Source organism: Homo sapiens, chromosome 10 (assembly GCF_000001405.40).
Source record: "Homo sapiens chromosome 10, GRCh38.p14 Primary Assembly".
Lineage (NCBI taxonomy): Eukaryota > Metazoa > Chordata > Mammalia > Primates > Hominidae > Homo > Homo sapiens.
In genome coordinates this window covers 114,873,610-114,885,898 of record NC_000010.11, presented here as the reverse complement: position 1 = coordinate 114,885,898, position 12,289 = coordinate 114,873,610, and the positions used below count along the sequence as shown (strand labels likewise).

General features: G+C 44.9%; 1 protein-coding gene across 1 annotated transcript in view, besides 1 other annotated feature; it reads right to left on the bottom strand.

Moving 5' to 3' along the window:
- Window positions 1–12,289, bottom strand: part of FHIP2A (FHF complex subunit HOOK interacting protein 2A) — a 78,053-nt gene that overhangs the window by 13,934 nt on the left and 51,830 nt on the right. The window lies entirely within an intron of this gene.
- Window positions 4,487–5,115: an enhancer, noted in NCBI's record as "OCT4-NANOG-H3K27ac hESC enhancer chr10:116640543-116641171 (GRCh37/hg19 assembly coordinates)". NCBI's record gives its function as "activates a minimal SCP1, AML or CMV promoter by ChIP-STARR-seq in naive H9 embryonic stem cells {active_cell/tissue: H9 hESC(naive)}" and the evidence as "EXISTENCE:reporter gene assay evidence [ECO:0000049][PMID:30033119]".

Sequence of the window (12,289 nt, the reverse complement as noted above, 5' to 3'; positions counted from 1 at the left end):
ACAAAGCCCTGACACTCCTAACTCACCATGGTTGCAAAGCCTATTGCTTTCTCTACACTCTCTTCACCACAGGTTCTACTCAGGTCCTAGCTGAGGGAGAGACAGGGTCTTCCAATACCCACAGCCACAGAAGAGAAAAATGAGAGATGATTATTCCTGCAGGAGCTTCAGCAGATGCATCAATACAATCTACGTAAATGCAATAAAACTGGACTGATTAGGTGGGGTGAATAGCATGGGAAAGATGAGCAAAGCAAATGGTGATTACAGCTGAGACAGGATTGCAGCACAGCTATTTAATTCTACCTTAATTCAACGAAGTTGGCATAAAAATGTTTAGTGTCAAAAACCTGGCACACCACCAAAAACATCATTAATTAATATTGACTAAGTGTCCAGAGCCTCTTGGGTACTGCAGAGCAAAAACAATTCCCAGCCTTAAAATGAAAACAGGATAGAGAAAAAGGGTCATCTGCTTTTTTTTTTCTTTTTTTTTTTTTTCTCAGATGGAGTTTCACTCTTGTTGTGCAGGCTGGAGTGCAATGGCATGATCCCTGCTCACTGTAACCTACGCCTCCCTGCTTCAAACGATTCTCCTGCCTCAGCCTCCTGGGTAGCTAGGATTACAGATGCTTGCTACCACGCCCAGCTAATTTTTGTATTTTTAGTAGAGACGGGATTTCACCATGTTGGTCAGGCTGGTCTCAAACTCCTGACCTCAGGTGATCCACCTGCTGCGACCTCCCAAAGTGCTGGGATTATAGGCATGAGCCACCTCGCCAGGCCGGGTCACCTTTTAAAAATATTTTTCTCCCCCAGGAAGGTGGGCAGTATGAGAAGCCATTGGATTCATTTAGGGATATTCTTATAGGGAAATGCAAATATTATCAAAATGATGATAATGGCAGCTAATGTTTATTGCATTCTTACCCTGAATATCAGATACTGTCCTAGTACTCTACATATATTGGCTTTTTTTTTTTTTTTGATGGAGTCTCACTCTGTCGCCCAGGCTGGAATGCAGTGGCACTATCTCAGCTCACTGCAACCTCCGCCTCCTAGGTTCAAGCGATTCTCCTGCCTCAGCCTCCCAAGTACCTGGGACAATAGGCACATGCCACCACACCTAGCTAATTTTTTGTATTTTTAGTAGAGACTGGGTTTTACCATGTTGGTCAGGCTGGTCTCGAACTCCTGACCTCAGGTGATCCACCTGCCTCAGCCTCCCAAAGTGCTGGGATTACAGGCGTGAGCCACCGCGCCCGGCCATATTGGCTCATTTAATACAGGTAGTTAATCTTCATTCCCTGACAAATGAAGGGAAGGATGGGGGCAACGTTTATTAAGCTCTTAGTGAGTGTCTGGCACAGAGCTATTTTCTTTTATACATGCTCTCATTAAATCCTTAAATGGTAATTTTCCTAGCTGAGAAGAAAGAGGTTCAGAGAATTTAAGTGATTTGCTAAGTTCTTAGCACTAGTACGTGGCAGATCAGCAGTTTAAACTCAGTTTTGTCTGACCCCAAAAAGTGACTTTCATTTTTACCACACTGTGTTCTTCTAATAACGTTATAGAAACAAGTCTCAAAGTCTAAATAGCAGATGCCTAATAGTTAACATTGATTTTTTGTTCAGAGATCTTTCTCCTGGGAAGGGCTCATTCTAACCATGTTGGGGCTGCCTTTATACACATCCCATCTCCCTCATTCTCCTCATTATACCAGAATCCTTCCCAGAAATTCACTTTTTTATTAAACTAATTCAAGTTGAGTTTCTAACTCTTACAACCTAGTGTATCCCAATTGAACCCCCACCGCAATTTCAGTGATAGGGCAGGTCGTAAATTCATTCTTGGCATATTACATAGTGAAATAGATGTATTACTCTATACATGATGTCACTGTAATCAGATGGATATTTGTTTTTGGAGGATGGAAACCAATCTCTTTACTATCTGGTCACACCTTTTATAAGGGAAGCATGTTTTGACCCTGCAGTTTAAGAAAATCTCTTGTATATCGGCCGGGCATGGTGGCTCATACCCGTAATCTCCGCACTTTGGGAGGCCAAGGCGGGTGGATCACCTGAGGTCGGGAGTTCGAGACCAGCCTGACCAACATGAAGAAACCCTGTCTCTACTAAAAACACAAAAAATTAGCCAGGGGTGGTGCATGCCTGTAGTCCCAGCTACTTGGGAGGCTGAGACAAGAGAATCGTTTGAACCTGGGAGGCGGAGGTTGCAGTGAGCTGAGATCGTGCCATTGCACTCTAGCCTGGGTGACAGAGTGAGACTTTGTCTCAGAAAAACAAACAAACAAACAAAAAAATAAATCTCTTGTATATCATGTTAAGCTTGGATAGAATATTGCATTTATTTTCATCCAGTATAGAACCATTAGATGCCTTATCTTTTTAATGTCATCCTTATCAAAAATTGTTTACTTTAATAGTACATAATTAAGGCTGTTGGGGAGTGGGTTGTGAGGGGAGGATGTTCTACAAAGCACGGTGTCTTTGAGCTCAAAGAATTTACAATGTGGATAGGAAGAGAAGACACGTGGATATGAGAAGAGGAGAACTGATGTCCAAAGCCACTCTTCATCCCCTGAATCAGCTGCTGTGATCCAAAAGTCCCTTGGAAAGCAGGCGTGTGAAACTTGGAATATTTCCTCATAGGAAGAGTGTGATATAAGGTCCTGCTATTCCATGTTTCATCTGAAAAACTAACCCTGTAATGTCACAAAATGATCCAAAATCTTTAACCTCTAAGGCCTCCCCTAGTCTGGCTTCTGTCCTCCTTTCCTGGTAATTTCTCCTTCTACCCATATCATGCTGGTGCTCTTTAAGTGCCCAGCATCCTACCCTGTCACAAGCCTTTCGCCAGTCTCCGCCCATCTCCTGGCTGCTCTTTCCCGCCTGGCATTGCCTTGCACCTTCATGAACCCTTAGTCATCCTTCTGGATCAAGCTGAAAAAGGAACTGCTGCTCATGAGGTGTTTTCTTTTCTTTCTTTTTTTTTTTTTTTGAGACAGAGTCTTGCTCTGTCACCCAGAATGGAGTGCAGTGGCACGATCTTGGCTCACTGCAACTTCTGCCTTCTGGGTTCAAGCAATTCTCCTGCCTCAGCCTCCCAAGTAGCTTGGACTACAGGTGCATACCACCATGCCTGGCTAATTTTTTTGTATTTTTAGTAGAGACGGGGTTTCACCATGGTGGCCAGGCTGGTCTCAAACTCCTGACCTCAAGTGATTTGCCTGCCTTGGCCTCCCAAAGTGTTGGTGTTGGGAATAATGCTTAAAGAGAAACCTCATCATATCCCACATTGCGATGACAGGTGCGAGCCACCTTGCCCAGCCTCACAAGGCATTTTCTGACCCCCCCAAACAAAATCTGCCTTTCAAACACTGCCTAGCACTTCTTGGAATGTCCTTTGTAGTCCTCACTGCACTAGCAGGGATTTCTCTAGTGCCTCTCTCCTCTCTCTGAGCCTGTTTTCTCATCCATAGGTGAGCATTGGGATATATACCATGTAGACTGTGATGAGGGTAGGAGAAAATCACAGAGGCACAGAGCGTAGCACACATGGGCTCTCCAGCCACAAGAGACTCCTGTGGCTAGAGACACAGTGGAAACGTCTGGGGACAGACTGCCTCATTCTTCGCTGAGAGGTGCCTGCCTTAGGTGGCTGCTGAAGCTCCCCCAGCTTCTGGAGGTGAGCAACAGTTACCACCCAGCTGAGGCTGCTCCCGAAAAAGCCCATGAACTTCTCTTCTGTCCGTGAGTAAGCAGACTTATGCTCACAGCGGCACAGTGCTGATTCAGGTCAGCAAGCGCTAGCTTGTGTCCCACACTCAGGCCAGACAGGAAGATCCAAAAGCAGCCTTCTTAAACCGAAGTCATTACAAACAAACAAAGCCCACATACACATACAGACACGCACACAGACACACATACACACGCGCACGTGCACGCACAAACACAAGTATGATTTAATGGCCAGGTCTTGACTGTCTTGGAAATGGATGAACCACCTGGGCTTACAAATAAACCTGGTCATGTTTGCTTTTTCCAGGAGAAATTGAGGGTAGGGAGAGCGAGTCTAGCAGAGCTCTGAGATGGCCTAGAATGGGCATTGGGGAGAACTCCTGAGCTAGCTATCCTTGAAATGTGTAGATCTCCCTGCTGAGGCTCTGCGGGTGATCAGGCACTGTCAGAATGAATTAGTGGCTCCATAAACCCAGGCTCTGTGGCTAAATGGTGGGGGCTAAAATCTCTGAAGTTCCTTACATCCCAGCAGGCTTCTCTAAAATATTTATGGCTGTTAGGCAACACAGCAAGCCCAGGTCCTTGAAATCTGGAATGAAGGTCCCAGACAAGTTTCCTACTGGCCAGCTGGGGAATCCTGGGCAACCCTCTTAACCTCTCTGAGTCTCCGCTCTCTATATGCAGAAAGCAGCTAATGAAGCCCTGTCTGCCTCATAGGGTGCCGGTGAGGGGCCAAGATCCAATCAGCGTCTCAGCCCCCAGGAAAGTGATAAAACAACTGGGATTATTTTCCAAATATTGTTCCAGTTTATCTCCCTTACTCTTGAAGGCTTTTGGAAAGCTCTCCAAAAGGCTGTGACCTAACAGTCAACTTGTATTTATTTGTTGAGAAGCTTCTGTAAATCAAAGGCATAAAACAGGGGACCCAGCTAAGGAAAATATTTCCGCTCACTGCGAAGAGATAAATTTTCAGGCCCCAAAAGGGGAGCTGGGAGAACTTGCAGGCATGTTTACAGCCCCCTCGTTAGTTCAGGCACAGTGATTGTTTGAAGTCCCAGATTCATCCAGCGAATAAGAAAGGCCCAGCAGGTCAGCAGTTTGACACTGTCTCCAAGGCTTTCTGTTATGTTTATACTGGAAAGTTACCATTGGCCTCTGTAAAATGGAATTTCCATATAATAATTGAGATGGCCTTGTAAGGAGGGAAGGTCCCTGTTGCTGCTTCTACAAGGAAGTTGGACTGATAGGGAAATGTGGAAACAAAGGAAGCTTTTGTCTTATCTCTGAAGCGAAGCCTTGTATGGTGGTTTCCAAATGCCTGTCTCATGCCCTACAGCATCAGAATCACTCGGAGTGCTTCCTTAAAATACAGATATCTACACCCATGCAACACATTGAATTCCTAGGAAGGGGCCCAGGAATCTGTGTGTGTGTGTGTGTGTGTGTGTGTGTGTTGACATGGAGTCTCACTCTGTTGCCCAGGCTGGAGTGCAGTGGCGTGATCTCGGCTCACTGCAACCTCCATCTGCCAGGTTCAAGTGATTCTCCTGCCTCAGCCACCAGAGTAGCTGGGATTACAGGCGTGCACCATCACACCTGGCTATTTTTTTGTATCTTACTAGAGACAGGGTTTCACCATATTGGCCAGGCTGGTCTCCAACTCCTGGCCTCATGCGATCTGCCTGCCTTGGCCTCCCAAAGTGCTGGGATTACAGGCATGAGCCCCTGCACCCAGCCTGAAGGGTTTTTAACAGTTTTATTAAGATGTAATTCACATACTATACAATTCACCCATTTAAAGTGTATGGTTCAATGGCTTTTAATATATTCACGGAGCTGTGCTTCCATCTCTATAATTTCAGAACATTTTCATTATCGCCAAAAGAAGCACTGCTCTCCTTAGCCATCACCCCAATCCTCCCGCCTCCAACCCCCAGCCTTAGGCAAGCCCAAGTTTACTTCCTGTCTGTATAGATTTGTCTGTTCTGGGCATTTCATGTAAATTGAATCATGCACTGTGTGATCGTATAGTGAAGTGTGTGAGTTTGGAGCAAGAGCTAATTGGTTACAGGCAACAGAGGAAAGGCTTAGAGCACCACTATTGTCTTCCCCACTGAATGCCGGATGTCACCCCTCTAAATAAGTGTGGAATACATATGTAAAGATATTGGCTTATAGCTGGGCATGATGGTGTGCACCTGCAGTCCCAGCTATTTGGGAGGCTGAAGTGGGAAAATCCCTTGAGCCTCGGAGCTCAAGTCAGCCTGGGCACACCGCGAGAGCCTCCTGTGTCTAAAAAGTAAAAAAGAATATTGGCTCGAAGGAAGCTAGTCAGTCTTCCTGTAGGTCCAGCCTTGTATTACGCCAGGCAATCAGCAGGGGTCACTGCACTCCAGCCTGGGTGACAGAGCGAGACCCTGTCTGAAAAACAAAACAAACAAACAAAAGTAAACCCGTCCCTCTGCAAAACCAAAGCCCCCCAGTTGACGATGCCCACCGCTTCTTATGAGGCATTTGAGCAATCGTCTGTTATTGCAAGAAAGGGGAATGCCACTTCCGGGAGATTCAACAGACAGAAATTTGGGAACTCTATAAAATGCTCTATTTCATAGACATTTTTTTCCTGCATCATTACCTTTCTTGAAAAGTATTAGTGCTCAGAGTATGTGTGTATTTCAGTATTCATATGGATTTATTCATCTGGCTGTGGTATAATTGCATTTTTTAGATGAGATCTGTTTCCTTCTCTAACTTAATTTTGGAGCTTACCTAAGCCATGTCCCAAGGGAGGGAGGTAAAATAGGGATTAAAGGATTTGCAGGATTTTTGTTTGTTTGTTTGTTTTGAGACACTGTAAGATGATGCCCAATTTTCTGAGAGTCTGTTCCTCCATTAAGATCAGATCACAATGCAGTCTTGGGAGATTGCCCAGTGCTGTGGAAATAGTGAGGGCTTTGGCTGCTTGAGTTCAAATTCTGGTTACCTTTAACAAATGTGACTTTACTTCTCTCAGCCTCAGTTTTCTTATCTATAAATATGGAATATTGGTAGCTTGCTTATAGAATGATTCTGAAGAGTAAATTAAATAATAAGCCTGGCACATAATAATAGCTGTTCTGTAAAAATGTAGCAAATATTACTATTATTTAACTTCTCATTTCATATATGTTATGTTTCCTCATTTGGATTCTTAGCTCCTTTGAGTATTGTCCCTGATCCCCACATAGCTCGTAACATAGTGTGTCCTATGCAAAAGCCAAGAAAGAGTTAGGAAAGAACAGATTGTAGAGGACACCTATGAGCCACCTGCCCAGGCTTCTTTTCTTTCTTTCTTTCTTTCTTTTTTTTTTTTTTTTTTTGAGGCGAAGTCTCTGTCACCCAGGCTGGAGTGCAGTGGCACAATCTCAGCTCACTGCAACCTCTGCCTCCCAGGTTCAAGCACTTCTGTCTGCCTCAGCCTCCCAAGTAGCTGGGATTACAGGCACCTGCCATTATGGCCGGCTAATTTTTGTATTTTTAGTAGAGACGGGGTTTCGCCATGTTGGCCAGGCTGGTCTTGAACTCCTGACCTCAGGTGATCCACCCACCTCGGCCTCCCAAAGTGCTGGGATTACAGGAGTGAGCCACTGCGCCCAGCCAAGGCTTCTCTTTTCTGGACTTATCTATCCTGATTCCCATTGTCCATCCACAAAGATATGAAAATGGGCTCCAGCAGCTTCTATGAGTGACTTTGCCCCCACTCCTCTTATCCTCAGCCTCAGTTGGTTGGACTAGGTGAGGACACCCAACTTAAGCTTGGCCAGGGAGTTCAGTGAGTTCTTAGCCAGTGGGCGTGAAACTGATCCTCCGTGTTCCACTGTAGTTGTGATTTGAAGTATGTTCACAAAATGTGATTCTAGGCAGCCATTCATAATGCTTCTAAAATTTTTTCTAAGCCCTAAGAAAATGGTCATCTTATAATGTTAAGGTAAAAAGGATAAGACAAAATTATGTAGACCTCACAGATTAGAAAATATATATGCATGAAGTACTGGAAAGAAAATACATAAAAATGTGAATAGAAATAGAGGGATTCTAGATAATTTTCTTTTAGTTTTTAATACTGACTGTTAAAGAGAAGTCTATATATTGGGGGGAAGGTGGGAGTAGGGGGAAGGAGCCAATGTAGATTTTCTTCTCTCTTCCCTTTAAAAAATTTTTGCTTCTCTGGTCTCAGTTTTCTCAGAATCCTAGCTATCCTTGATATCTGATAAAAATAATTCACACACGGGTGTTAACAACTTGCTAGCTCTCCAAGGGTGTTATTATTTGAAAATGGGCTTCCAGACGCAAGATGACTTCATGCAGAAATTCTCAACCATTGATCCTTTGCAGAACTAGGCTAAGCAGTTCTACCAGTTTGCAGGAGAAAACATGATAGAATTGTCTAAAATTAAAATTTTCTCCCATAAATTTTCCCTTGGTGCCTGCCACCAATGTCTCAATTAGAATTTTGTAGTCTGAACAATAGAATCACTGGGGAGCTTTAAAAATATACAAATTCCCCTGCTCCATCTTCCAGATTCCAGATTTAACTGGCCTTTTGTGGGGCCCGAACCGCTATGGTTTTTAATCCTTTGTAGGTGATTCGATCCTTCAGCCAGGATTGAGACTTATATATAATTATAATTATATAATTATACTGACAGTATAATTGATTGAATGCAAAATTCTATATTGAGTAATTTTGTTGTCTCCAGCTTAATAGCGTATCCATATTTTGCGGGATTTCTGAAGGAGCTGCATGGGTTCCAGTTGCCCTACTAATTGAATGAATTTGGAAACTCGTGCTTGACCTGAACCCTCGGGCGGCGCCGTTCCCAGTGGGGAAAGAGACTGTTTGGAGACATCGCCCTCCAGTGACAGCACTCGGGAACTGTTGAGAGGCCTGGGTACACCTTTGCTTCCCATTGATTGTTCCTCTAAGAACAGGGGTGCTCTGAGCCCGTTCCAGCCTGTGAAAGCTCCCTTGAGTTCGTTGTACGTTTGTCCTTGCCCGGATGTGTCGGCAACACGCTTGGAGGCATAAACAGAACAAAACTTCAGACGTGTTCTTAACTGTCAGGAGTAACAGTTGCAGATAAAAGCTGCAGAATTGCTCAATACTGGGAAGGCTGAGCACAACTAGAATTATTCCGGTAACTTAACAGAAAAAATAAATAAACATGTCAATAGTTACAGGGTTTAGGAGGGAGGGAGAGTGTAAATTCATAGCAAAACATTTGGAACATTCCGTTTAGCCCCTTCCCTTGTGCGGGGGCGGAAGTCTGAGGCGAGTGGGGTGCACTGTGGGGAGGGGCAGCAGAGAAGAAGTCTCACCAGAGTAGACAGGACCAGGGGGCCGTGCTGAGCCCTGGCCCCAGGAGCTGGCAGGTGAGAAGAGACTCATCTCTGGAAATAATGCTTGAGAGTCCATCTGAGCCCCCTGGGAAGCTTGTCCAGAAAGCTCCCGGCAGGTCCCATTCCTATCAATTGTGGTTCAAGAGGCCTAGGAACCCGAGAGGGTTCTGAGAAGCAGTGGCAGGGCCTGCCGTGCATCCAGTACCTACTTGGTAGCAGGTGTGGAAGGAGGCCTGTGCCCTCGTTCAGTCCTTACAACAACCCTCTGTGGTAGTTGGTACCATCCCCATTTTACAGATAAGGAAACTGAGGCTCGGGGAGGTGATGTGGGGTGCCTAAAGCACCAGAGCTGAGCAGTGATGGAGTCTGGACTGCAGTACCCTGTTGCGGGCGATGAGGGGGAGCTGTCACAGGAACAAGCCAAATCCTGCATTAGGAGGCTCAGTGCCAAAGGTCGGAGCAGGACCAGAGATGACGTGGACCTGCATGCCTGGTCCACAGCGCTCCTTGGGGACCTTCTGTTCTCCCTGAGGAAAGGGTTGGAGTCAGGTGGGAACGTAGGAAGGAAGAGAAGGTAGAGAGGGGAGAGGAGGCATGACCAGCCACCAGACAGGGGGGAGTCAGAGCCACCAAGGCAAAGCGCTGGTGAGCGGGAGGGTGGGGGCCCCGGGTCTCTTCTGCTTCCTCCTCAGTCTTTCCCCTCAGGCTCCTTTCTTCCTTCTAGAGCTTTTCTTTCTTTTTCTTTCTTTCTCTTTCTTTTTCTTTCTTTCTTTCTCTCTTACCTTCCTACCTTCTTTCCTTTCTTTCTGTTCTTTTTCTTTCTCTTTCTTTCTTTCTTTCTTTCTCTTTCTTTATTTCTTTCTCTCTCTTTCTTTTCTTTCTTTCTCTTTCTTTCTTTCTTTTTCTTTCTTTCTTTCTCTCTTACCTTCCTACCTTCTTTCCTTTCTTTCTGTTCTTTTTCTTTCTATTTCTTTCTCTCTCTCTTTTCTCTTTCTTTCTTTCTCTTTCTTTCTTTCTTTCTCTCTCTTTCTTTCTTTCTCTCTCTTTCTTTCTTTTTTTCTTTCGACAGAGTCTCGCTCAATTGCCAGGCTTGAGTGCAATGGCGCAATCTTGGCTCACTGAAACCTCCGCTCCTGGGTTCACACCATCCTCCTGTCTCAGCCTCCTGAGTAGCTGGGAATACAGGCACCCGCCATCATGCCCAGCTATCTTTTGTATTTTTTTTTAGAGACAGGGTTTCACCATGTTGGCTAGGCTGATCTTGAACTCCTGACCTCAGGTGATCCACCCTTCCCCAGCCTGCCAAAGTGCTGGGATTACAGGCATGAGCCACTGCGCCCGGTCCCATGTTCCTTTCTTACTTCTCCACCATCCTTGCTTCTTCTTTCTTCACTTCCCCTTTCTTAGAAAAGGGGTTTTCTCCTCCCTCACAGATCCAAGGCATGCCCTCACTCCTCACAGGATGGCAAGGAGAAACGATCAATCGCTTAAGTAATAAAAAACATCCAAATCAGACCCGTCTGCAGTCAGAATCCACAGCAGTCCTTCCGCAGCACAGCAGTCCTTCTGCAGCACAGCACTGCCTCCGCCGGCCGCCTTCCTTCCCTCGGAACTGAGCCCATCCAGGGCTGCAGAGCGGCCTGCAGTCCCTGGTGGCAACAGCACTTAGCGGCGCCTCATGTTTAATGCAAGCAAGCTTCGGAAACAGGAAAGCTTTCAAGATACAGCTGAAGATGCACGAGCGCTGCCCTTTACAGAGCAAACACGAATGTACAAAACCAACGTGGGTTTTCCTGTGTTACAATAATTGTGTTCTCATCTGTACAGATTTAAGCTAACCGCTTCTGTCAGAAGAAAGGAGAAATCTATATCCAAGGGCCTCTGTGGCCTAGAGAGGCCTGAGTCACCTCTGCTTTTTGAGTCTCCTAGTAATTTTAAAATGAAAAAATTCCGGCCGGGCGCGATGGCTCATGCCTGTAATCCCAGAACTTTGGGAGGCAGAGGCGGGCGGATCTCCTGAGGTCAGGAGTTCGAGACCAGCCTGGCTAACATGGTGAAACCCCATTTCTACTAAAAACACAAAAAATTAGCGGGGCATGGTGGCACGCGCCTGTAATCCCAGCTGCTCAGGAGGCAGAGACAGAAGAATCGCTTGAACCCGGGAGGCGGAGGTTGCACTGAGCCAAGATTGTGCCACTGCACTCCAGCTTGGGCAACAACAGCGAAACTCCATCTCCAAAAAGAAAAACGAAAAAATACTAAAATAGGTTATACAATTTGTAGTTCATTTGTAAATGCTCATCATTAGCAAGTTAATATTTTTAGCACAAAAGAGATAATGCAATATAATTGTGCTAGTTACTAGCTAATTACAGGATTTGTAAAAAGTAATCATTCCTAGTGTGCTATAAGTAATGGGGCACAGGTGTATAGCTGTATTTTGAATAACTTCTTTAACCTGTTAGGATGTGATTCCTTTGGGAAAAAAAATTAAAGATCTAAAGTAGAAATCTTTTGTGTGGCTGTGTTAAAGTGTATGATATTGATGACTATGAAAGTTTCCCTTCTGCTAACATAGACACTCTTGTCTCCAAACAAGTTCAGCTGTGCTTCCCACTCAGTCACTCATTCTGGATGGTTTTGTTAGCATATCCATGTCCTCTACCCTGTCTTCAGAGTGCTTAGGTTGAAAGGCTTTATAAATACCACGTGTCTAGTCCAATACCCTTTCCTCGGCTATCTGGACCCAAAGCACCATGCCAAGTCAATGCAGTGCTACAGAACTTAGGGTTGTTTTTTTTTTTCCCCCTCCTGAATATTCCTAAATAACTCAGTGTTTTAAAAGACTCTGATGTATCTTGGAGAAATGGCTGATCCTAGGACTGGGGCAGGAAACATATGAGATGAGCTGGGAGTATTTTGTAATCTCCAAAAGTAAGGAAGTACTAAAAAACAAAAAGAAACAAACAAAACACCCATATATTGATGGGGGTATGTTAAAGAGACACAGGAACCAACTGAAACTGTTCCCAAAGGCCAAAGCTGGAACAATTTGAGCAACAAAACCAATGAAATAGTATTAGATTATAACCCAAAGTATAAGATAAATATCCATGAGTTTGTATTGATATAAATGATTGGATAAA